This window comes from Homo sapiens, chromosome 19, assembly GCF_000001405.40.
Source record: "Homo sapiens chromosome 19, GRCh38.p14 Primary Assembly".
Classification (NCBI taxonomy): domain Eukaryota; kingdom Metazoa; phylum Chordata; class Mammalia; order Primates; family Hominidae; genus Homo; species Homo sapiens.
In genome coordinates this window covers 35,291,341-35,314,034 of record NC_000019.10, presented here as the reverse complement: position 1 = coordinate 35,314,034, position 22,694 = coordinate 35,291,341, and the positions used below count along the sequence as shown (strand labels likewise).

General features: G+C 54.6%; 1 protein-coding gene across 3 annotated transcripts, besides 5 other annotated features; it reads right to left on the bottom strand.

The window, feature by feature from the left end:
* MAG (myelin associated glycoprotein) lies at positions 228-21,874 on the bottom strand. Of its 3 annotated transcripts, NM_080600.3 has the most exons (12): positions 21,831-21,874; positions 19,745-19,800; positions 18,581-18,649; positions 18,054-18,422; positions 14,185-14,481; positions 13,631-13,888; positions 11,327-11,587; positions 3,874-4,161; positions 3,392-3,488; positions 2,018-2,117; positions 1,710-1,754; positions 228-745 (listed from the first exon to the last, which is right to left on the bottom strand). In NM_080600.3, exons 3-11 carry the CDS (start codon positions 18,624-18,626, stop codon positions 1,722-1,724), a joined length of 1,749 nt encoding a protein of 582 aa, NP_542167.1. In that variant the 5' UTR covers positions 18,627-18,649; positions 19,745-19,800; positions 21,831-21,874; the 3' UTR covers positions 228-745; positions 1,710-1,721. The 3 variants fall into 3 exon arrangements, with proteins under 3 accessions (NP_542167.1, NP_002352.1, NP_001186145.1); NM_002361.4 differs by lacking the exon at positions 1,710-1,754; NM_001199216.2 differs by lacking the exons at positions 1,710-1,754; positions 18,581-18,649 and adding an exon at positions 18,525-18,580.
* Positions 1,588-2,087: an enhancer, noted in NCBI's record as "H3K4me1 hESC enhancer chr19:35802851-35803350 (GRCh37/hg19 assembly coordinates)". NCBI's record gives its function as "activates a minimal SCP1, AML or CMV promoter by ChIP-STARR-seq in naive H9 embryonic stem cells {active_cell/tissue: H9 hESC(naive)}" and the evidence as "EXISTENCE:reporter gene assay evidence [ECO:0000049][PMID:30033119]".
* Positions 2,088-2,589: an enhancer, noted in NCBI's record as "H3K4me1 hESC enhancer chr19:35802349-35802850 (GRCh37/hg19 assembly coordinates)". NCBI's record gives its function as "activates a minimal SCP1, AML or CMV promoter by ChIP-STARR-seq in naive H9 embryonic stem cells {active_cell/tissue: H9 hESC(naive)}" and the evidence as "EXISTENCE:reporter gene assay evidence [ECO:0000049][PMID:30033119]".
* Positions 8,418-9,305: an enhancer, noted in NCBI's record as "H3K4me1 hESC enhancer chr19:35795633-35796520 (GRCh37/hg19 assembly coordinates)". NCBI's record gives its function as "activates a minimal SCP1, AML or CMV promoter by ChIP-STARR-seq in primed H9 embryonic stem cells {active_cell/tissue: H9 hESC(primed)}" and the evidence as "EXISTENCE:reporter gene assay evidence [ECO:0000049][PMID:30033119]".
* Positions 17,097-17,166: an enhancer, noted in NCBI's record as "active region_14466". NCBI's record gives its function as "activates an Ori minimal core promoter by ATAC-STARR-seq in GM12878 lymphoblastoid cells {active_cell/tissue: GM12878}" and the evidence as "EXISTENCE:reporter gene assay evidence [ECO:0000049][PMID:35858748]".
* Positions 17,297-17,406: an enhancer, noted in NCBI's record as "active region_14465". NCBI's record gives its function as "activates an Ori minimal core promoter by ATAC-STARR-seq in GM12878 lymphoblastoid cells {active_cell/tissue: GM12878}" and the evidence as "EXISTENCE:reporter gene assay evidence [ECO:0000049][PMID:35858748]".

The window sequence follows — 22,694 nt, the reverse complement described above, 5'->3', positions numbered from 1 at the left end:
TATGTGAAATCATCCATAAGTCAAACCAGACCCAGCTCGCAGCTACCAGCTCAGAGTGGGAGCAACTTAGTGGCCACTGGCCCTGGGTTCAAGGCTAAAATCCCTGGGCCCTTGCCTGCATACCAGGCTCAGCCGAGGGCAAGGAGAAATTCTGTCATCGTTCTGTAGACGGTGGGATGGCAGGCTGCCCAAAGGCGGGTCAGAAAGCATCAGGATCTAGACTGGCATTTGGCTTTGGGGCATTTATTTCATGTCCCTTTTGTACAGGCCCCAGGGCCAGGTGTGGGGGCAGGAGACCAGGCAGGAAGTAGCAATAAATAACACGGACAGACAGAGCTCCCCTCCAGACAGATGAGGGTAAAGGAGGTTAGAGAGGAGCCGTAATGAGGGCGTGGGGGTGCTGGCAGGGAGGGGCAGCTGGGAAGGAGGGGGAGGTCAGGCCCCCAGGACCTCACTGTCACCTGCCTCACTCCCCTCCTGCCCCAGCCCCCGATACTTTTGGGAGGAAGGGAGCCCACAGCCAGTGGGGGCCAGCGAGGGTCCTGAGGGGGGTCAGCCACGCAGGCTGCCCCCAGCTCCTTCACTTGACCCGGATTTCAGCATACTCAGCTAGCTCCTCCGTCAGCGTGTAGCTGTCCTTGGTGGGCCGTTTCCCCAGGTCCGAGTGAGAATAGCTCAGGTCCAGCTCTGGGGGCTCACCCCGAAGGCCCAGCAGCCTCCTCTCAGATCCCAGGCGCCTCTCGCTCTAAGAGGGGAAACCGCCCATTAGCAGGGTCCTGCTCCCTGCCTTTTCCCAATGCAGAGGACAGAGCGTTTGCACCCTCAGAGCTCCTGAGTTCAGTCCCAAATAAATCCCTGCGAGAACCTCCTTTCTCAAGGACCGCAGGCCCAGCGAGCCCTGCGGTCACCAGGTCCCACTCTGGAGCTTCTGCCAGTGTTAATCATTGCTGAACTTGAAATTTGCCTACAAATTCAGTTTCTCCAGGAAGCTGCTTCTTCTTCTTCTTTTTCTTTGAGACCCAGGCTGGATTGCAATGGCTCGATCTTTGCTCACTGCAGCCTCCACTTCCTGGGTTCCAGCAATTCTCCTGCCTCAGCCTCCCAAGTAGCTGGGATTACAGGCACCTGCCAACACGCCTGGCTAATTTTTTGTATTTTTAGTAGAGACAGGGTTTCACCATGTTGGCCAGGCTGGTCTCAAACTCCTGACCTCAAGTGATCCATCCGCCTCAGATTCCCAAAGTTGTGGGATTACAGGTGTGAGCCACTGCCCCCGTCCAGGAAGCTTTCAACATAGGAGTTTTGAGGGCACACAATGTAACCCCTAATACCTTTTTGGGTGAAAACCACCTAGTCAGGACCCCATCTTTCCAAATTCCTGGAAATACCTGGTTTGGTACGTGCCCCCCCATGGGTCCTGCATGGGTCCGCCCTCAATCTGGGAGGTCCTGCAGGTGACATGTGGGTTCCCCCCACGCTTCCCACCCCTCCCTCCACCCCCTAGCCACAGGAATTTGGACACACAGGACGGTGGCCACAGACAGAAGGGAGCTGCAACAGGACAGACTAGACAAGGCCAGCACTGCCGGGCAGGCCCGGACATCACCAGAGACCACCTTGACGCCTGACAGGGACACACGGACATGCACGCCAACCCCAGGGCCCAAGGAGGGCCCAGAGGAGGGCACACTGAGGCCCCCGGAACCTACCTCCTGGGGCACTCAGTGAGATTCCAGGGTAGAAACCTCTTTGGACTATTGGAGAAGGAAATGCAGTCACAGACACAGGCAGGGAGGGGAGGGGGCCCTTAGGCCCCACGTCCCATCGCCCCCTACACAGCTTCGGCCTGGGCACCTCCTCCCCAGCCTCCAGGTCCAACCCAGCCCTGGAATGTCCTTCCTCTCCTCCTGTGAGAGGCCGCTCCCACTCCCCTGCCCCTTGGCCTCACAGGCCTTTCCCAGGCCTTCAGTGTCCCTGGCATCCAGGTTCCCAGGCCAGCCTGGAGCCTGGTCCTTACCTCGTACTTCTCTGGTGCCCCAGAGATGCGGAAGTCGCTGCTGAACAGGACGGGAGGGTTGTCCCCTGCCGAGAAGCTGGGGCTCTCTGTCACGTTCTTTCTGCAGGGCAGGACTCGTCAGACCTCTCTCTGCCCTCCCTTTCTGCACCCCCACGTGTTTTAGGAGTTTGGCTCAGGGGACCTCAGAGTTCTCCCACCCATCTCTAAGATGTGGCAAGCAGCCCTTTCAGAACCACCAGCCTCTCCTACCCACACAGCCCATCCTTCCCACCTCTGTGGCCCCTGCCCGGCTGGGGACGAGCCACCTGGCCCCTGAGCTCTGCCGTTTTTCAGGACCCCCACCTGGATTCTCCAGGTTCCCCTCATAGGCTCTGGGTCTTTCTGCCCCTCTTGCCACCAGGATGTGGAGCAGAGGGGTTAATTTATTTCTCAGGACAGCTGATGTGTGTGTGCCACAAGAAAGAAACACGGCTGCAGCTGAGTTGGGCCAGGTGGGTATGGTTTGGGGCTGGAGAGGCTTTCTGTCTGTCTGTCTGTCTGTTTGTTTGTTTTTAGAGACAGGGTCTCTCTTTGTCACCTAGGCTGGAGTACAGTGGTGAAATCATAGCTCACTACAGCCTCAACCTCCCAGGCTCAAGCGATCTTCCCTCCTCAGCCTCCCGAGTAGCTGGGACAACAGGCACGTGCCACTAGTAGCTAATTTTTTTGTTTTTTTGTAGATGGGGTCTCCCTATGTTGCCCAGGCTGGCCTCTAATTCCTGAGCTCAAGAATCGTTCCACCTCAGCCTCCCAAGTAGCTGGGACTACAGTGTGTGCCACCATGCCTGGCTAATTAAAAAAAAATTTTTTTTAGAGATGTGGTCTTGCTATGTTGCCCAGGCTGGTGTCAGATTCCTGGCCTCAAGCAATCCTTCCTCCTTGGCCTCCTAAAGTGCGGGATAACAGGCGTGAGTCAACGCGCCCGGCCAAGGCCTATTTTTTTTTTGCCCCAGATGTGTGTAATCTTTGGGGCTTCTGGCGTCAAGTGGACCTGCTGCTGTGGCTGCAGTGGGGTACCTGGGCTTTCCCCACCACACTGGAGTGTGTAGGGGAGAGTTCCTAGAGATAGGGAGGCTGTCAAAATAGAATGTGGGCAAACAGGTCTCAAATGATGTGTGTAAAGGGCTCAGCCCAGGCCCTGGTGTGCCCCTGACCAGCAGGGGCTGGAATTAACAGGAACCCTCTCTCCTCTGTCCAGCTGAACATTCCCAGAACAGAATCTGCCTTCTCTACACTTATGGTGCTGCCTTCCCCCACCCACTCTGGGCCTCCATCTCCCACCAGGTCCCCTTTTTGGAGACTCCCATCCCCAGATCAGCCCCAGCTGGCACTCACTTCCTGCGTGTCTGGGTAATGTAGCAGACGATGGCAATCAGGATGGCAAAGGCGACCACGGCGCCCACAGGCCCGATCTTGGCCCACATCAGTCGATCTGAGGACAGAAAAGACCCAGGCGCCCTTAGGGCTATGGGTGGTGGTGACGACACCTGAGAACTTTGGAGACATGCTGGGATGACAGTCAATGTAGTCACACAGCCGGGGCATCCTTGCACTGACTGATTGGCACGGAGCCTCCTCGTGCCAGGGCAATCCCTTTCATGCTAGAGGGCCCTGGGGAGGGGCTCATGCCTCAAAGGTCCTAGCAAACTCGGGGCAAACTCAGGGCGGCTTCTCCTCTCCAACCGGAAAGGGAGAATTTGACCTTTCTGTCAATCTGCATAGCCCATGCTCTGTGGCTGTTGGTCAGCCTTGGGAGCTTGGATCTAAGACGTGCCCGCTCCCTCCTGTGGCTCCCACCCCAAGTCCACGCCACTCACGGGCTCCCTGGAAGGGCAGCTCCAGGCTCTTGGCGCCATAGAGGTTCCTCGCGGTGCAGATGACGCGGGGCGGGGCCTGGGCCTGCCCCCGCAGCGTGAGGATGCTGGTGAGCACGAGGCCGCTGCGCTCCGAGTACACGAACTCCCGCTCGCTCTCGTTCACGGTCACATTGCGCGATGGCAGCTCAAAGGCCACGGACGGCTCCGGGTTGGACTTCACCACGCACAGGCACTGCACCGTGTCTCGGGCTGCCGCGCAGTGGGACTCCAGGAGGAGCACAGGGGCGACTGCAGGGGCAAAATCAGGTCTGAGGGTGGCCCGGAGCCAACGCGAGGCCCGGCCCCGGAGACTCCTTGGCTCAAGGCAAGGCCAGTGTGGCCAAGGATGGGGGCGGTAGCTTCCTGTAGGGCCCTCCAATTTCCCCTCCTTTTTTCTCTGTCCTGACTGAGAGCGCCTTGACCTCACTACGACCCCGCCGGCTGCCTGTTTTCACTGCAAGCTTCACTAACCCACGCCTGGGGCCTTGAACATTCCCAGGCACTGATAAAGGTGTTTAGGTTGTTGCTCAAAACACTGAAAGAGGCCGGGCATGGTGGCTCACTGCTGTAATCCTAGCACTTTGCGAGGCCGAAGAGTGAGTGGATCACTTGAGGTCAGGAGTACGAGAGGTTACAGAATGAGACGCTGTCTCAAAAAAACCCCAAACAACAACAACAACAAAAATGAAAGAATGAAAGAAACCAGCCCCAGCCCTGGGCCAAATTCCTTAAACCCTCATGTAAACCCATACCCTGACCCTCACGGACGTGTCTGGGTAGACCCTCCCTTTCTCTCGCCGTAGCACTGTGCAAGTTCCCCTCCCAAATGCTTTGGACTGATGATCACCTGGTGGTTTAGTGCCTCTCTCTTTGGAATCCCAAGTGGCCTCATTTCGGGGTGGTTTGGGGTGCTCTCTTGGGGCAATTCTTCTGGTGCCACTTTTGAGGCGACTCTAGCCTCAGCTTCAGCCTGGACAGAGCACTATGTCACAGGGACGGGCCGTTTCTCCTGGGCCCTGGCTCTTACACTCTCTCTAACCTCATTCACCTTGTAATACATAAATCAGATCATGGCACTCTCTGCTCAAAACCCTCCTTCTGTTGCTCCGTGGTTCACCTAAAATACAAATCCTTTATTTTTTATCGTTTAGAGACAGGGTCTGGCCCTGTCGCCCAGGCTGAAGTGCAGTGGCAGTACTATAGCTCATTTGCACTCTTGGCCTCTAGTGATCCTCCCGCCTCAGCCTCCCAAAGTGCTGGGATTACAGGCATAAGCCACTGCGCCCAGCCACATTTGACCATTTTTGACATGCAGAAAAAATTTCACATAGTTCAATGTAATGTATACAGCAAAAAGTACGAATATTCACCCTAAATGAAATCAGTATAGATTACAAACAGCCTTGTGTTCTTTAGGCGAGATTTTGCTGTCAAATCAGGGTGGTGCCAAATTTGCAAAAAGCCTTTTGATTTTAAAGCTTTATGTTCAGAATTGCAGAGGACGGTAAATCTGTCATACTCATGATAGTTACTGGAGGGTTTTTGTTTGTTTTTGTAGAGACAGGGTCTTGCTATGTTCCCCATGCTGGTCTTGAACTCCTGAGCTCAAGCAATCCTCCTGCCTTGGCCTCCCAAAGTGCTGGGATTATAAGGCGCAAGCCACTGTGCCCAGCCCAAAATACAAAGTCTTTCATCTACAAGGCCCCTCAGGCCCTGCCTGACCACACACTCTCTCCTTCTCTCCCCCTGGCTTAGTCCTTTCCAGCCACACCGGTTCCTTGCTGTGTCTGAAAATCGTGGAGCTTTCTCCCACTCCAGGGTCTGTACGTTTCTCCCTCAACTTGGAACACTTCCATCAGTTGCCTGTGGAACGCCCTCCCTCGCTCCAAACTGGCCTCTACCCATGCGGCGTCTCCTTCTCTGACCACCCAGGGAAGCTGCACCTCGCTCCACGTATCATTCACTCCCTGCCTCACTCAGTTCTCCTCCCCAGCACTCACCCTCCCTGCATCACACACTTACATAAGGGGCCTCCTGTTTCCATCAAGACAGGGGCTTGCTCCTTCTCCACTCTGGGCCCCACACGTAGAAGGGAGGAACCATGGAACTCTCCCAGCCCCCGGCCTCCCCAGACCCTTGGGGCTCACACAGGCTTAGACTATCCCCTCCTTTCTGGCTTCCAGGCTGTGCTCCTTCCTTTCAGTCTGCGCTGCAGATGCCCCCCACTTCCTCCCCTAAAGCCGCCTTGAACCCCGGCCCTTCCTCACCCATGAGATTCCCTCCTGCCACTAGCACCAAACACCACCCTCCACCCAAAGTCACTTGGTTGAGCTTTGCTTTGCTGCCACTGGATTACAAAAATAGTACTGGTAGGTTTTTTCTTTCATTTTCCAAAACAGGAAATTATTATTATTATTATTGTTATTACTATGATTTTTGAGACGGAGTCTCTCTGTCGCCCAGGCTGGAGTGCAGTGGCACGATCTCTGCTCACTGCAACCTCTGCCTCCCAGGTTCAAGTGATTGTCCTGCCTCAGCCTCTTGAGTAGCTGGGACTACACGTGCGTGCCACCATGCCTGGCTAATTTTTGTACCAAAATACGCAATTGTATTACAGCACAGAATGCTGCTTTTTAAACTGTGTTCTCTTTCTTGGCCTGAGAGTCCAGCACCCTCCTTGGCTTGCTCTAGACTGAGCACTGGTTCTCAGTGAGTTCTCACCAAAACCCACTTACACACAGGCAAGAGACCCTTGGCTCACCTACCCCACCTATTTTCAATTGCTAGCAAAAAGAATGTGCCGGTAACGGTGGTGGACCTGGGAGTCACACGGGCACACGGATTCACGGCAGGAATGGGAACCTCTGTGCAAACATCTCTAAGTCTACTGAATAAAAAGTCCTGTTCGGGCAGAGCTGCAATATGCTTGCTATAGCGTTAACCAGCTAACACGCCACGGAGTACATTAATAACAGCGAACCTGAACCGACAGACATAAAACTTTTTCAAAGCACTTCCACTCAAGACAGCCCCACTGGTGCTCTGGTGACAAAGTGTTCGACCTGGATGTCGGCGGAACGCCGACACCCTGCCGGTGCACGTGCTTAGTATCTTTTCAGACAACCTGTGAAGCTGCGGAAACTGTTATGGGACTCTAGACAAACCTGTAAGACAAAGGTACAAAGAATGAGGAGTTTGTGGTGGGATGGATTTGGCTTGAATCCCAGCTCTGCCATCTACTGGCTGGGTGAGGCCACTCAGGCTCCTGGGCCTCTAGGATGGAGTTCTCATCTGTGCAAACCAGGGGGTTACAGTCAGTAACTCACAAGGGGCTACGGGACTCCGAAGATAGGCGCGCAAGTGTGTTGTAAACACTTAACATCCCAGCCGGGTGCAGTGGCTCACACCTGTCATTCCAGCACTTTGGGAGGCCAAGGCAGGAGGATCACTTGAGCCCAGGAGTTTGAGACCAGCCTGGGCAACAGAGCAAGACCCCATCTCTACAAAAAATTAAAACATTAACTGGGCATGGTGATGTGTGCCTGTAGTCCCAGCTACTCAGGAGGCTGAAGTGTGAGAATCAGTTGAGCCCAGGAGGTTGAGGCTGCAGTGAGCGATGATCAAACCACTGCATTCCAGCCTGGGCAACAGAGCAAGACCCTGTCTCAAAAAAATAAAAAATTAAAATTAAAAATACGTAACATCCCACCCAAGTACTCATGGGTGGATAGACAGAACCATTCCCGCAGAGAGGTCACATGAGCAAAACCTCAGCAGCAAAACACACAACAAATATTTAACCTGGAGTCCAAAGGAAAAATCAGTGAGAAAGATGATGACATCCAATATCCACAGAGTATGTAGCACTATGAACACTCAGTATTGTTCTCTTAGTTCTTCTTTTTTGTGGGGGAGTGGGGGGGTGGGACAGTCTTGCTCTGTCATCCAGGCTGGAGTGTGGGGGTGGGACAGTCTTGCTCTGTCATCCAGGCTGGAGTGGGGGGATGGGACAGTCTTGCTCTGTCATCCAGGCTGGAGTAGGGGGGTGGGACAGTCTTGCTCTGTCATCCAGGCTGGAGTGGGGGGATGGGACAGTCTTGCTCTGTCATCCAGGCTGGAGTGGGGGGGTGGGACAGTCTTGCTCTGTCATCCAGGCTGGAGTGGGGGGCTGGGACAGTCTTGCTCTGTCATCCAGGCTGGAGTGCACTGGCTCCATCTCAGCTCACTGCAACCTCCACCCCCCGGGCTCAAGCGATTCTCCTGCCTCAGCCTCCTGAGTAGCTGGAACTGCAGGTGTGCGCCATCACGCCTGGCTAATTTTTGTATTTTTAGTAGAGATGGGGTTTTGTCAGGTTGGTCAGGCTGGTCTCGAACTCCTGGCCTCAAGTGATCCAACTGTCTCAGCCTCCCAAAGTGCTGGGACTACAGGTGTGGGCCACCACGCCCAGCCTAATTCTCTTAGTTCTCACAGCCATCTTTGTGGTAAGATACTGTTATGAACCCTTGCTAAGGGTTGCAAAGCTGAAGTCACTCGCCTGAGCTCAGGCAGGAGGATGGGGACAGAGCTGGGATTCTAGCCCAGGTCTGTTCAGCCCTGTTGGGACTGGATGCCAGTCAAACTTCTGTTTCCTTGTATTAAACTGGGTTGAAGAATGGTACCCTCCCCTCAATCACATGGTTGTAAGAACAAAATAGGTCAATGCGTACAACGTACTCAAGCTAGTTCCCTAGACATCTCAGGCACTCGGTAAGGTTGCACACTTCCTGCATGCCCCGTGCCGTTCAGGGCTCTGGGGTTGGCAGGTAAGACAGAAGGCCCTGCTCAAGGGTCACCACCACTGTCAGTGAACATTGGAGACCTGGTGCCAGGGAACATTGACTGTGTGGAGAGGGAGGGGGCCTGAGGGTCGCACTCTCCAAGGGCAAGCACTTTGACACAGGCCTGGGTGAAGAGTAGGGAGCTGGCAGGTGGGGCAGGGGACAGGGCCACTGCTCCCCTCAAGTCTAGCAGGTGAGGCCTGCACACTCCACATCTGCCTGCGTGTTCGTTTTCAAGAGAAGCCGGATTGAGTCCTAGAGTGCTAAGAGCTGTGAGGGAGGTGAGGCAGCCAGAGGTTTAACAGCTGGGGCAGACAGGAGTCTGGAATTATCGGGCTCGGACCCACTTTTATAGCTGCCTGGCCTCAGGGAATTCCGCCCTTGAGTTTTCTCCTTGGTAAAGGGGATAATTATAACACACCCCTGTTTCACAGGGTGACCCTAGAATTGAAAATGAGCCAGATAGGCTGGGCATGGTGGCTCACACCTGTAATCCCAGCACTTTGGGAGGCCGAGGCGGGTGGATCACTTGAGACTAGGAGTTGGAGAACAGCCTGGGCAACATGGAGAAACCCCGTCTCTACTAAAAATAAAAAATTAGCTGGGCATGGTGACGCATGCCTGTAATCCCAGCTAGTTGGGAGGCTGAGGCAGGAGAATCGCTTGAATCTGGGAGGCAGAGGTTGCAGTGAGCCAAGATCGTGCCACTGCACTCTGGCCTGGGTGACAGAGCGAGACTCAGTCTCAAAAAAAAAATAATAATAATAATAAAAATAAGAACTGAACCAGAAAACAGCTGTAGAGGATTCAAGGTCTGGCCCAGGGCAGGCCCCTAACGCGCATTTGCTGCCTGCTGCTCTTACTATAAAGGAGAGATCTGCACCCCACCGGAAAATGTATGTGAGTTGGTGCTGCAGGCTTGTTCAAGTACTCCCATCGGCTCCTCTCTCTGACTCTTAAACTGAAGAATCACTGGTGTGGGGTGTAACAGGGATCAGGGGACAACCAGAGGGGGAAGCTGGCCCAGGATAGCACGCACAGTTGGAGGGAGCAGGGGACCACGCAGCCCCGCGCCAGGATCACATCAGCCCCGCTAGGGAACAGAACCAGGAGGGAAAGTGCCTGAAGATTATAGGTCAGCAGGAGAGGGACGGCTTTGCCACGAGAGGTTGCCCCCGAGGACTAACCTGTATCTGCCATGTACTGATTGTCGCCATGTACACAGCACAGAGCATGTACTGTGTAGCAGACACTGCTTTGAATTCTTTGCATGTTGAATGTCATCGAACCTTCTGGCAAACTTGTGTGGTGGGGGCCATTGTGGGCATCGTGAAGACCAGAGAGGTGAAATTTGGGGAGGAGTGCTAGAAGCCAACAGGAACTTGGGAGGAAGCAGGGGAAATGGAAACAGGAAGGCGATATTCCAGAGGGAATTGCTTAAGGAAGGGGAGTCAAAACTGTGACTTGGCTGCTACAACCTGGAGTGATGGCTGTGGGGGTAGGGGTGGTGGGAGATGGTGGCACAGTCCATAGTGAGGAGATGAGAGGCGCTGGCCAGCGGTGCAATGGTGAGTTTCATTTCCAAGACAGTAGCTTTTTATGTGCATCTGTGTCATCTCTCCAGCTATTCTGTACCTGTTCATAAGCGTGGTGTCTTCTCAGCCCTATCCTCCACCTCTCACAGAGCCGCACAGCCTTTTGTGTATAGCAATTACCCCATCAATGTATTCTGCTGTCATAACATAGGATGAGGTCAGCCTTGGGCAGGGAAGAAGAATGGAACCAGACTGCCTGGATTCAAACCTCAAATTCTGCCATTTCCTGGCTGTGGGAACTTAGGCAAGTGGCATAACCTCTCTGGGTCTCAGTTTCCTTCTCCGTAAACAGGGAAACAGTAATAGAACCTCCCTCATGAAGATGTCATGAGGATTAAATGAGTGGGTTGCTGTACAGCGCTTCCAACAGTGCCTGGTACATAGCGACACTCTACACAGGTTAGAGATCATGGTCATTGTTTCGGTTAGTGCAGAGGGGCAGTGGCCACAGGATCCAGAAATTTCACTGGTCAAAAGCCCACCCCAGGCTGCGCGTGGTGGCTCACGCCTGTAATCCTAGGACTTTGGGAGACTGAGGCAGGCAGATCATCTGAAGTCAGGGGTTTGAGACAAGCCAGGCCAACATGGCGAAACCCCGTCTCTACTAAAAATACAAAAATTTGCCAGGTGTGGTGGCGAGCGCCTGTAATCCCAGCTACTCAGGAGGCTGGGGCAGGAGAATTGCTTGAACCCAGGAGGCAGCAATTGCAGTGAGCCGAGATCCTGCCACTGCACTCCAGCCTAGGTGACAGAGCAAGACTCAATACTCTGTCTCAAAAAAAAAAAAAAAAAAAAAAGCCCACTCCCGGATGTGGGAACACAATATTCTCAGATGGGATTTTATTTTCCTGCTGTGAATTCAGCTTCCCTGCCCTCCCTTCCTTGTCTCTGCGGAGGACAGGCAAAGCCAATACTGATTGGGATGCGTGGGCACCCACAGTAACCCTGGTGTCCCCCACGGAACCGTCCATCCCCAGCATAGGGGAGCGGAAGGTACTCACACTCCACAGACAGGTTGAAGGCGGTGGCCCTCTGGCCATACTGGTTCTCAGCCACACACCAGTACTCTCCATCATCCTCGGGTGACACGGCCGGCAGCTCCAGCTGCAGCTCGCTCTCGTAGATGACCGTGGACAGGATCTGCTTCTCCTTGAAGATGGTGAGAATAGGGTCCGGGTTGCTCTGTGTGGAGCACAAGATAGAGACCGTCTCCCCCTCTACGGCCACCATTGTCCCGTTCACTGTTGGCTTCCAGGGTGCATCTGCGGGGTAGGACGGGACTGATGGTCAGAACCCAGGAGGTGCTTCTTCTGCCAGCCAACTACCATCCCCAGATATGACCCCAGATCCCACCCCAAACCTAGCACACCGGTTCAGGAAGGCTCAGGTGACCCCAGTCCTGGCTATCTCATTTCCAAGAACAGCAGCTTGGTAGCCAGCATGCTTGTCTTCAGATCCCTACTCTACCCCTGTCCAGTTGTGTGTGGACCCACATCTTAACCTCTCTGGGCCTCATTTTTCTCATCTGGAAAATGGGCTTCATAATAGTTCCAACCTCATAGGGGTGATCATCCAACATTCACTGAGAACCTGCTGAGTGACAGGCATTGCTCTAGCTTGAACAAGGCCCATGTGGAAACAGCCGATGTAATTAAATAAAATATGTAATTTGTAAGATGGGAAGAAGTGTGTAGAGAAAAATAAAGGGGCTGAGGGTATGGAAAATCAGGGTAGTTACAGTTTGGGATAGGATGATGGGGGAAGGCTTCAGCGAGCCTAGGAGGTGGGCAGAGCCAGCCGTGGGGAATGCCGGGGGGAAGATTGCATGTCAAAAGCATGCAGGAGTCCGAGCGTGGTGGCTCACACCTGTAATCCCAGCACTTTGGGAGGCTGAGGTAGGCAGGTCACCTGAGGTCAGGAGATCGAGAGCAGCCTGACCAACATGGTGAAACCCTGTCTCTACTAAAAATACAAAAATTAGGCTGAGTGTGGTGGCTCACGCCTGTAATCCCAGCACTTTGGGAGGCCGAGGTGGGCAGATCACGAGGTCAGGAATTTGAGACTATTCTGGCCAACATGGTGAAACCCTGTCTCTACTACAAATACAAAAATTAGCCAGGTGTGGTGGTGTGCGCCTATAATTCTAGCTACTCGGGAGGCTGAGGCAGGAGAATTGCTTGAACAGGGAAGTGGGAGGTTGCAGTGAGCCAAGATTGCTCCATTGCCTTCCAGCCTGGCGACAGAGCCAGACTCTGTCTCAAAAAAAAAAAAAAAAAAAAAGCACTCAAGAGCTGTGGAGTAAATGTTGGCTGCGGCTGTCATTATTAATATCCCCAGTGCTGGGCACTTTGCCTCAGTACACATTTGTGAATGAATGAATGGTATCTCTTTGGTTCTCAGCTAAGAATCCTCTTCTGACCAGCTCCCTTCTTGCTGGCCCAGTAATATAAATGTGCATACAAGGGGCTGGATGAGGCCTGAAGTCCCCTCAACCCTCTCATTAGAACTACAATGGAATTCATTTAAAAATGCAGATTCCTGGACAGGCACGGTGGCTCATGCCTCTAATCCCAGCACTTTGGGAGGCTGAGGCGGGAGGATCACTTGAGCCCAGAAGTTTAAGACTAGCCCAGGGAACATATCGATTCTCTGTCTCTATAAAAAAATAGAAAAATTGGCTGGGTGTGGTGGCACCTGCCTGTGGGCCCAGCAGCGCAGCAGGCTGAGGTGGGAGGCTTGCTTGAGCCCAAGAGTTTGATACCAGCCTGGGCAACATAGCAAAATCCCACCTTTACAAAAAAAATCTGAAAATTAGCCTGGAGTGTGGTGGTGCACACCTGTAGGCCCAGCTGCTCAGGAGGCTGGGGTAGTAGGCTTGCTTGAGCCCAGGAGTTTGAGGGCAAGTGGTGCTATCATGGTGCCACTGCATTCCAGACTGGGCAACAGAGCAAGGCCTTGTCTCCAAAAAAATTTTATAAAGTAAAACGCAGATTCCTGGGACCAGACCCACATCAAGTCCCAGAACAACCAGGAACTGCCCCCAGGAAGCTGCAGTTAACAGGCTTCCCTAGGAGGCAGGCCTGGGTCTTGTCCTGGAAGGAGGATGAGGCAGAGCAGGTGTTCCCCAGATTCTTGTGGAAAGAATGAAGGTACACCTTGACTTGCAACCCCCCTGTCTACCTTGGCCTCGACTGTTTATGGCCGGTCCCCTCGGGACCCAGCCCATGCTCGCCCTGGATGAGGCCCCTTTCCCTTTATCTCTCGGCTGCAGGTGGGCGTGTGGACGCACAGAGTGGGCCACTCACACATGACACTGAGCCCCACGGTGCGGTTGTCCTGGCCATAGGCATTCTCGGCCAGGCAGGCATAGACGCCGTCTTCGGCGGGGGTCACCTCCTCCAGCTCCAGGAGCAGGCTCTCGGCCACCGCCTCCCGGAGGACTGTCCCGTCCCGCATCCAGGTCAGCAGCGGCGGGGGGTTGCTGTCAGCCCCACAGAGCAGGCTCACGTGGGAGCCCTCGATGGCCTCCACCGAGGAGTTCATCTCCACAATCACCGGGGGGTCTAAGGCCCGCGACACAGCGAGGTTAGTGAGCAGGTGCTGGGGAACCGGCCCAGTGCCCTCTCCCAGCCCGGCCCCGCCCCCAACACTGTCCGGCCCCGCCCTCAGCCTTGGCCCCGCCCCAGGACTGCCTGGTTCCGCCCCCGTCCCACCCAACCCCCCAATCCCTGCCTGGCCCTGGGCATGGCCCCGCCCCCATCACGGCCCGGCCCCGCCTCCGGCCGCATCCCCAGGTCCACCCCCTCCCCGGACCCCGCCCCACCCCGCCCCACCCCGCCCCGCCCGCACCCAGGCTCACACTTGACGTCCATGCTGGCGTAGCCCTCGAACTGCAGGGTGGTGTTGGGGAAGGAGGCCTGGCAGCCCAGCCTGTGGCCGTTGGCCTCCCTCGTGGGCACGAAGTGCAGCAGTGACACCTGCACCCAGGTGCCCTCGTCCTCCCGCAGCCGGCCCAGCACAGCGGGCTCCCCCAGCCCCTCGTGGCCCAGCCAGCTCAGCTCAGGGCGCAGCTCTGGGCAGTTGTCCGGCACCATGCAGCTGACCTCCACCTCCGTGCCTGCCACCACCTCTGGGGGCACCACGATGTTGGGGGTGTCTATACGAGGCGGGGAAAGGGAGGGCTGAGAAAGCAGCACTGGGCTACGGTCCCGGTCCCACCCCACCCACCCTCCTCCTTGTCCACCTCCATTGCTGGCAATGGTACTCCTCAACGGTATCGCCTCCGCTCCCTGCCTCCAGATTCAGAATTCCCTTTACCCTTCCTCCTCTTGGTCACCCCGGAGCCCTCCACGGAGCCACCAGAGCGCCATCGTAATGAAAATCACAGTGTCGTGGCCAGAGCACTTGACGGCGTTTAACTTGCCAGTCCCTCCCGCAAAGCGAGAGGGTGAGGACTGTAATTTTGCTCATTTTGCAGATGAAGAAACTGAGGCTGCAGCTGGCACCAGGTAACACTGGCTACAAACCCTGTGGCTCTGGCGTCAGCGTGGGCTCCCCACACCTCATCACTTCCCAAGCGGCTCTCCTCTCCCATGCCTGCTTGGTTTACCCTCCGCCGGGCATGTGAGTGTGTGTGTGTGTAGGTATGTGTGTGTGTGTGTGTGTGGTGTGGGTGTGTGGTGCATGTGTGTAGTGTGATGTGTGTGGTTTGTGTAGTATGTGGTGTGTTTGTGATGTATGTGTGTAGTGTGTGGTTTTTGTGTATGGTATGTGTGCAGTGTGTGTTGTGTGTGTGATGTGTGGTTTGTGTGGTGTGGGTGTAGAGCGTGGTGTATGTGGTGTGTGGTCTGTGTCATGTGTGGTGTGTGTGTGATGTGTGGGTAGTACATGTATGTGTGCAGTGTGTGTGGGGTGTTGTGTAGTTTGGGTCGTGTGTGGTATGTGGTTTGCGTAGTACGTGGTGTGTGTGGTGTGTGGTGTGTGTGTGGTGTGGTTTGTGTGGTGTGAGTGTAGTATGTGGTGTGTATGCGGTGTGTGGTTTGTATCATGTGTGGTGTGTGTGTGCTGTGTGTAGTGTGTGGTATGTGTGTGGTGTGTGGGTAGTGCATGTATGTGTGCAGGGTGTGTAGGGTGTAGTGTGTGTGGTTTGTGTAGCATGTAATTTGTGTGTAGCGCATGGTGTGTGTTTGGTGTAGAGGTAGTGTCTGCAGTGTGTGTTGTGTGGTTTCTGTAGTATGTGGTGTGTGTGTGCAGTGTGTGGTGGGTATAGTGTGTGGTTTGTGTGTGTGGTGTGTGCATGGTGTCTGGTTTGTGTGGTGTGTGTTTGGTGTGTGGTGTGTATTTGGTGTGTGGGTAGTGTGTAGGTAGAGTGTGTGGTGTGTGGCGTGTGGTTTGGGTACTGTGTGGTGTGTGTGCAGTGTGTGGTTTTTGTAGTGTGTGTTGTGCATGTTTGTTGTGTGTGGAGTGTGTGGTTTGTGTTGTGATGTGTGGGTAGTGCATGTATGTGTAGTGTGTATAGGGTGTAGTGTGTGCGTGGTTTGTGCAGTGTGTAGTGTGTGTTTGATGTGTGGGTAGCATGTGCAGTGTGTGGTGTATGTATGTGGTGTGTGTAGTGTGTGGTGTGTGTAGTGTGTGGCATGTGGGTAGTGTGTGCACTGTGTGTGTAGTTTATGTGGTGTGTGGTGTGTGTGTGGTGCGTGGGTAGTATGTGCAGTGTGTGGTGTGTGGTTTGTGTAGTGTGTGGTGTGTGTTTGGTGTGGTGTGTGTGTGTAGCATGTGCAGTGTGTGATGTGTGGTTTTTGTAGTGTGGTATGTGTGTGTGGTGTGTGTTTGGTGTGTTGTGTGTGTGGTGTGTGGTTTGTGTAGCGTGTGTTGTGCATGTTTGTTGTGTGTGGGGTGTGTGGTTTGTGTTGTGATGTGGGGGTGGCGCATGTATGTGTACAGTGTATATAGGGTGTAGTGTGTGTGTGGTTTGTGCAGTGTGTAGTGTGTAGTGTGTGTTTGGTGTGTGGGTAGCATGTGCAGTGTGTGGTGTATGTGTGTGGTGTGTGTAGTGTGTGTAGTGTGTGTGGTGTGTGGGTAGTGTGTGCAGTGTGTGGTGTGTAGTTTATGAGGTGTGTGGTGTGTGTGTGGTACGTGGGTAGTATGTGCAGTGTGTGATGTGTGGTTTATGTAGTGTGTGGTGTGTGTGGTGTGTGTGGTGTGTGTTTGGTGTGGTGTGTGGGTAGTGTGTGTGTGGCATGTGCAGTGTGTGGTGTGTAGTTTTTGTAGCGTGGTGGATGTGTGGTGTGTGTTTGGTGTGGTGTTTGTGTGGTGTGTGTGTAGTGTGTGTGTAGCGTATGCAGTGTGTGGTGTGTGGTTTTTGTAGTGTGGTGTGTGTGTGGTGTGTGTGTTTGGTGTGGTGTGTGTGTGGTGTGTGGGTAGTGTGTGTAGTGTATGAAGTGTGTGGTGTGTGGTTTGTGTAGTGTGTGATGTGTGTGGTGTGTGCTTGGTGTGGTGTGTGTGGTGTGTGTGTAGTGTGTGGTGAGTTTTTGTAATGTGGTGTGTGTGTGTGGTGTGTGTTTGGTGTGGTGTGTGTGTGGTGTGTGGTTTTAAAATCCTTTAAGCCAAATAGAATACAGCTATGGCCAGACATGGCAATCAGAATAGGGCACACTGCCTGATTTCAGGGATCCCCCTGCCTCATTTCTGAGTGGCGCTGCTGCTTGGAGTCCTCAGCGCCAAGCAGTGTGTGTGTGTGTAGTGTATGCAGTGTGTGGTGTGTGGTTTGTGTAGTGTGTGTGTGTGGTGTGTTTGGTGTGATGTGTATGTTTGGTGTGTGGGCAGTGTGTAGGTAGCAGGAGCAGTGTGTGGTGTGTGGTTTGTGTAGTGTGTGATGTATGTGTAGTGTGTGGTGTGTGGGTAGTGTGTAGGTAGAGTGTGCAGTGTGTAGTGTGTGATTTCTGTAGAGTGGTGTGTGTGTGTACTGCACCTGTGCAGTCTCTTTCTGCACCAGGGTGAACCCGGCTCTCTCATAGGGACTCAGCGCTGAGGACTCCAAGCAGCAGCGCCACTCAGAAATGAGGCAGGGGGATCCCTGAAATCAGGCAGTGTGCCCTATTCTGATTGCCATGTCTGGCCATAGCTGTATTCTATTTGGCTTAAAGGATTTTAAAAAAAGAAATCTGAATCAGCAACCAAAATTTAAGAATTAGGAGATTACACCAAAGAATCCAAAATTCTGGTTTATCTTGAAAATTCAGAACACCTGACAGCCACCGCCCTGCTTTCTGTTGGCCAGAGCTGGGGGCCACGTGCCAGGTGCTGCTCTGGGCATCTGATGGCTTTTCACTCATTGCCTTAAGTGCTGTTCTTATCCCCATTTTACGGAAAAGAAAACCAAGGCCCAAGGAAGTTAAGTCACTTGCCCAAGATCACCACGCTAAAGTGGGGGCCCAGCAGCCTTGCCCCTACCCCCTGGCCCCACTGCCTTTCTCCAGGTGTTTCCAAAAGAGTAGCAGCACCTGTTTCCCCCTGAGGGCAGCAAGACTATTTTGGGGCCCTGCTTTGTTCATGTCTGTCATCTGCATGGTCTGCGTGGGCCTTGAGGTTTGCACCCCCAGCCAAATCAGCACCTCCCAGATCTGCCATCCAGGCCTGCTGGGGAAGGTGCGGGGAGGCCTTCCGGCCACACTCCTTCCCGCCCCGCTGCCCCAGCTCCCGGTGCCTGCACAACCGCTGGGGACTCACTGACGATATCCAGGACGCTGTGCTCTGAGAAGGTGTACTGGTTGTAGCCGCCCAGGTCCCCACGGAAGTAGTACTTCCCGCCCAGCTCGGGGCTGACGTTGCTGAGCAGGAGGGTGCAGTTTCGCAGGCCCAGGTCCCCCAGGAGGCGGCTGCGGCCCTGGAAGCTCTCGTGGACTACTTGGGTGCGCGACTTGAAGACCACCGGGGGGTAGTTCTTGGGGTAGGGGCTATTGAAGTACCAGACACCATGCACCACAGCGGGCCGCAGCTCATCCGGGAAGTCAAAGCGGCAGGGGATGGAGACGCACGTGCCTTCGAAGGCCGAGATGGACGAGGGCATCCAGGCACCCCAGTGACCCCCTCGGGAGGCTGCGGGCAAGCAGGAGAGCTGAGGCTCAGGGACACGTCCTACCCGATCACCCCCTCCGGCTCCCATCCCCAACCACATGCCGGGGGGCTGCGGGGACCCACCTCCAACCTGCTCAGGGGCCAAAGCCTTTAGGTCCCCAGCACCTGTCAGCCGTTACCTGAAATCATAATCCAGAACAGAGGCAGTGCCGTGAGGAATATCATTCTGTACAGCGAGTGAGTGATCGCTGGAAAGGGAGAGGAGAGGGTTAAAGGCTGGGGGAAGTGAAAGGGGGTGTTCCATCTGGGCTTCAGGAAGGGGCCCATTCATATGTTAGCTGCTGCTGCTATTATTATTTATTTATGCATTTATTTACTTATTTTTCTGAGACAGGGTCTTGTTTCATTGCCCGGGCTGGAATGCAGTGACACAATAACAGCTCACTATAGCCTCAAAATCCTGAGCTCGTGTTATCCTCTTGTCTCAGCTTCTGGTATGCGCCACCCCACACCCAGTTAATTTTTCTTCTTTTTTGTGGAAATGGTTGTGGAGGTGGGGTCTTACTATGTTGCCCAGGCTGGTCTTCAACTCCTGGCCTCCAGCAATATTCCTGCCTTGGCTTCCCAAAGGATTACAGGTGTAAATCACCATGCCTGGTCTGCTGATATTTTTTAACTTTTTACTTTTTGAGATGGGGTCTCAGCCCTGTCACCCAGCCTGGAATGCAGTGGTGCAATCGTGGCTCACTCAACTGCAGCTTCAATCTGCCAGGCTTAAGCGATCCTTCAGAGTAACTGGGACCTCAGGTACACACCACCATGCCTGGCTAATTTTATTTTAGTTTATTTATTTGGTTATTATTATTATTTTTTTTAGAGATGGGAGTCTTGCCATGTTCTGTGTTGCCCAGACTGGTCTTGAACTCCTTGGCTCAAGCGATCCTCCTGCCTCAGCCTCCCAAAGTGTTGGGATTACAGGCATGAGCCACCTCACCCAGCCTGCTGCTATTACTTATAATTATAAACCCTTCTATGGCATTGGCCATGTGCCAGCCCTCACTGCTTATTCTGCTGTCTTAACTCATTGGATCTCTTTGAGGAAGATGCATTATCCTCATTTTATAGCTGAGGTCCAGAGAGGTTAAGTGACTCGCCCAAGGCCACACAGTTGGTCTGCAGTCTTTGCTGCATGTCCTGTCTCTATGCAGTGATGATGTGCTGATCATTATCTTTGTCACCGTGATGCCCCTGGAGATCTCCAGAAAGTAAGAACCAGAGAGCCAAGGCAGGGCCAGCATTGCAAAGCTGAAGCAAGGGAAGAGAGTTGGTACCCTGCCCCTCACCTGAATCTCCCTGAGTTGGGGACGTCTTCTGGGTCCACCTGAAGCCGCCAGACAACCTGCATGCAACAAGAGTCACTCAGGTGCAAGGGGGCGGGATTGAGGCACCCAACCCACCCCCGCTTCAGTATCTCCTGCATGGGTTGTGACCTGTTGTCAGGCTGCCCATGTGGCCCTCCCATTGTGCCTGGGACCCTCCCACACAGCCTCGAAGCCACTCTCTGGCAACAACTCCCTCCAAGCTGGGGTGTCAGAGAACTGTGGGGAGGGAAGGGGGAACGACCGCATCGGGGTACGGGGGTGAGACTGAGGGGTGTGGCGAGTGGAGTGAGGGAGCAGATGTCCCACGGCCGGGGCCTGGGGGTGGCGGGCAGGGACCCAGAGCCATCAATGACTGGGTTTCACAGTATCAGCATTCCCGACATGCCGCGTGAATTCCTGCCGCCCTCTCCCACCCCACAGACGGCCCCTGGTGTCCGCACCCTCACCAGAAGCTGGTCCCCGGTACAAAAGAGTCCTGTTCCCTCGGGGAGAGGGTGTTTTAGCCTGCGGGGGGCTTTCAGGGTAAGTGGGGAGTAAGAAAGGGGTCAGGCACTCCTGGCTGGCCTTTGAGCAGGGCCAGGAAGGCCCAGGGTGGGGGCTAGCGAGCCCCTGGCACCCTGCTGCTCCATGGGTTGCCTTGGGGTTGCAGCCAGGGTTTCCAAGCAATTGCTTTTCCCAGCCTTCACCGCCCTCTTCCCACGGACAGAGACACATGCACAGACACATCCAATCGCGGGGATGAAATGTGACAGATGTAGCCCCAGCCAGAAGGGGCAGGCACACGCAGCGGAGACTCATACAGACACCCAGACAGGACCCTGAACACACAGACAGGCACAGGGACCCCTGTGCCCACAGGGATGGGCTGGCACTCACATAGTTCCCAAGGCGTGCATGCAATGCCTCTGCTGCTGTCCACACACACCTGGACAGACACAGCCCTGGCATTCAGCACACACACACACACACACACACAGCCCAGCATGCATGCCAGGCTAACAAAGATGCAAGGAACTGCACACACACACTGAGGATGGCTATAGACGCGTCCACTCAGACACGCGCCGATGGACACCTGGCCGACGCTGCCCTTGCACCTGTGACAGGAAGGTACAGGAGAGAGATGCAGATGAGGATGAGCACGTGCCCGGGCAGACATGAAACAAGCAGGTAGACCATGCACTCTTAACAGCGGGGAAAACAAGTTCTCGGGATGGGGGCCAAATCAACCTCAGCTATTACAGTGTGTGTGGCCACAGTCCATAAACATATGTACAGCAGATCTGTTGGATTAAAATGCCAAGGGAAGGATGGGATGAGGACAAATGCATCTAAAAAGTTTCTGTAGTTGGGGCCGGGCGCAGTGGCTCACGCCTGTAAACCCAGCACTTTGGAAGGCCAAGTTGGGAGAATCTCTTGTGCCCAGAAGTTTGAGACCAGCCTGGGCAATATAGTGAGAGTCCCGTCTCTTAAAAAAAAAAAAGTAACGAAAAATAAAAAGTGTCCTTAGTGGGGATTAATGAAGAAAAGTCGACTGAGGCTTACAGAGGAAGGTGCATGGGCAGCCATGTGTGTGCACGCACACGCACACACACACACACACACACCTGCTATGTGCCCAGGTGCTAGAATGCAGTCACTAACAGCCCACTGCCCCCATCCACCTCCCAGATTGCAGCCTGCAGGTGTCTGATCACCTGGACATCCTTCCATTCTTCGGCCAGATGCAGACCTCCTCCACCCCATCTGCCCCGCACTCGGGAACCCCAAGGAAACCTCTCCTGCAAAATCTTCACCCACAAGGGGTGCTGAGGGGGGGCCCTTTGTTTTTTCTCTCTGTGGTTTCTTCCCAGAGCCCCATCGCTGCCCCAGCGATGGTCCGAGCCCATCCCCAAAGCAGCCCCAAGCCACACACTCCTGCATCCTAAATCAGTAGCGGTGCACAGCGATGCTCCCTCACCCAGAGCACCTGACCCTGCTCACGTCTGGGTGCCACTGCCCCGGTGCCCTGCTCCCCTTGCCCTGGCCTCCCTGCCACCATACTCACTTGGACTCAGTTGCTTCTGCACCTCTGCTCCGCCAGCCCAGCTCGCAGTCCCCTGCCTTCCAGGGTCTAGGCCCCCACTTGCCAGCCCCTCCCCTCCCCCTGGGTGCCAGGGGCCGCCTGCCTCCAGGGCCCAGCTCCTCCCTACCCCCGGGGGAGGGGGGCACAAAGGGGCCCTTGTCACCACGGGGCTCGGACTGGGCAGCCTGACGCCTGGGTTCTCCTAGCTCTTTCCTGGAGGGGTCGGGAGTGGCTGCCTTGCTCTCTCCCCATCTTCCATCCCTGTACACCCTGATTCTGGGTCCCGGGGGTGGGGGGGCAGTCTAATCTCTTTGGAAGTCCCAGGCTGAGGGACAGAGGCATTGTCCTCAGGGAATCTTGGTGGCAACATTAGGTGGGCAGCAGGAGGAGACAGGTCCTTTCCACCCTCAACGTCAGTGTCACCTCCTCTTGCCATCTGAAATGACCTTCCGTGTTCACCAACTCCTTTCATGAGAACGTGACCTCCACCAGGCCAGAAGCTTCGTCTTGGATATTCTCAATCCATCCTTGCTCGTAGACAAGCTCCTGGCAGGCAGTTGAGCTTAATAAACAGTGTGGGTGGTTGAATGTGTTCCCCAGAGCCCCAGGGCACCTTCAGACTCAAGGCCTGTGCACCTGCTGCTCATTCTTCCTGGAAAGCAGTCCCCACCCCATAGCACTCCCCACTCTGGCACTGGCTGCCGTTCACCCATCCTGTAGGCTCAGCAGCCTGGGTGCCGCTTCCCTGGGAAGCTTTCCCATCTTCGCCCATCAGCCAGGCCCCTCCATTGCAATGCTGTCCTTTCCTTCTGTAGCCTTGGCAGGCTGGCCCGTGTGCACCCTAGG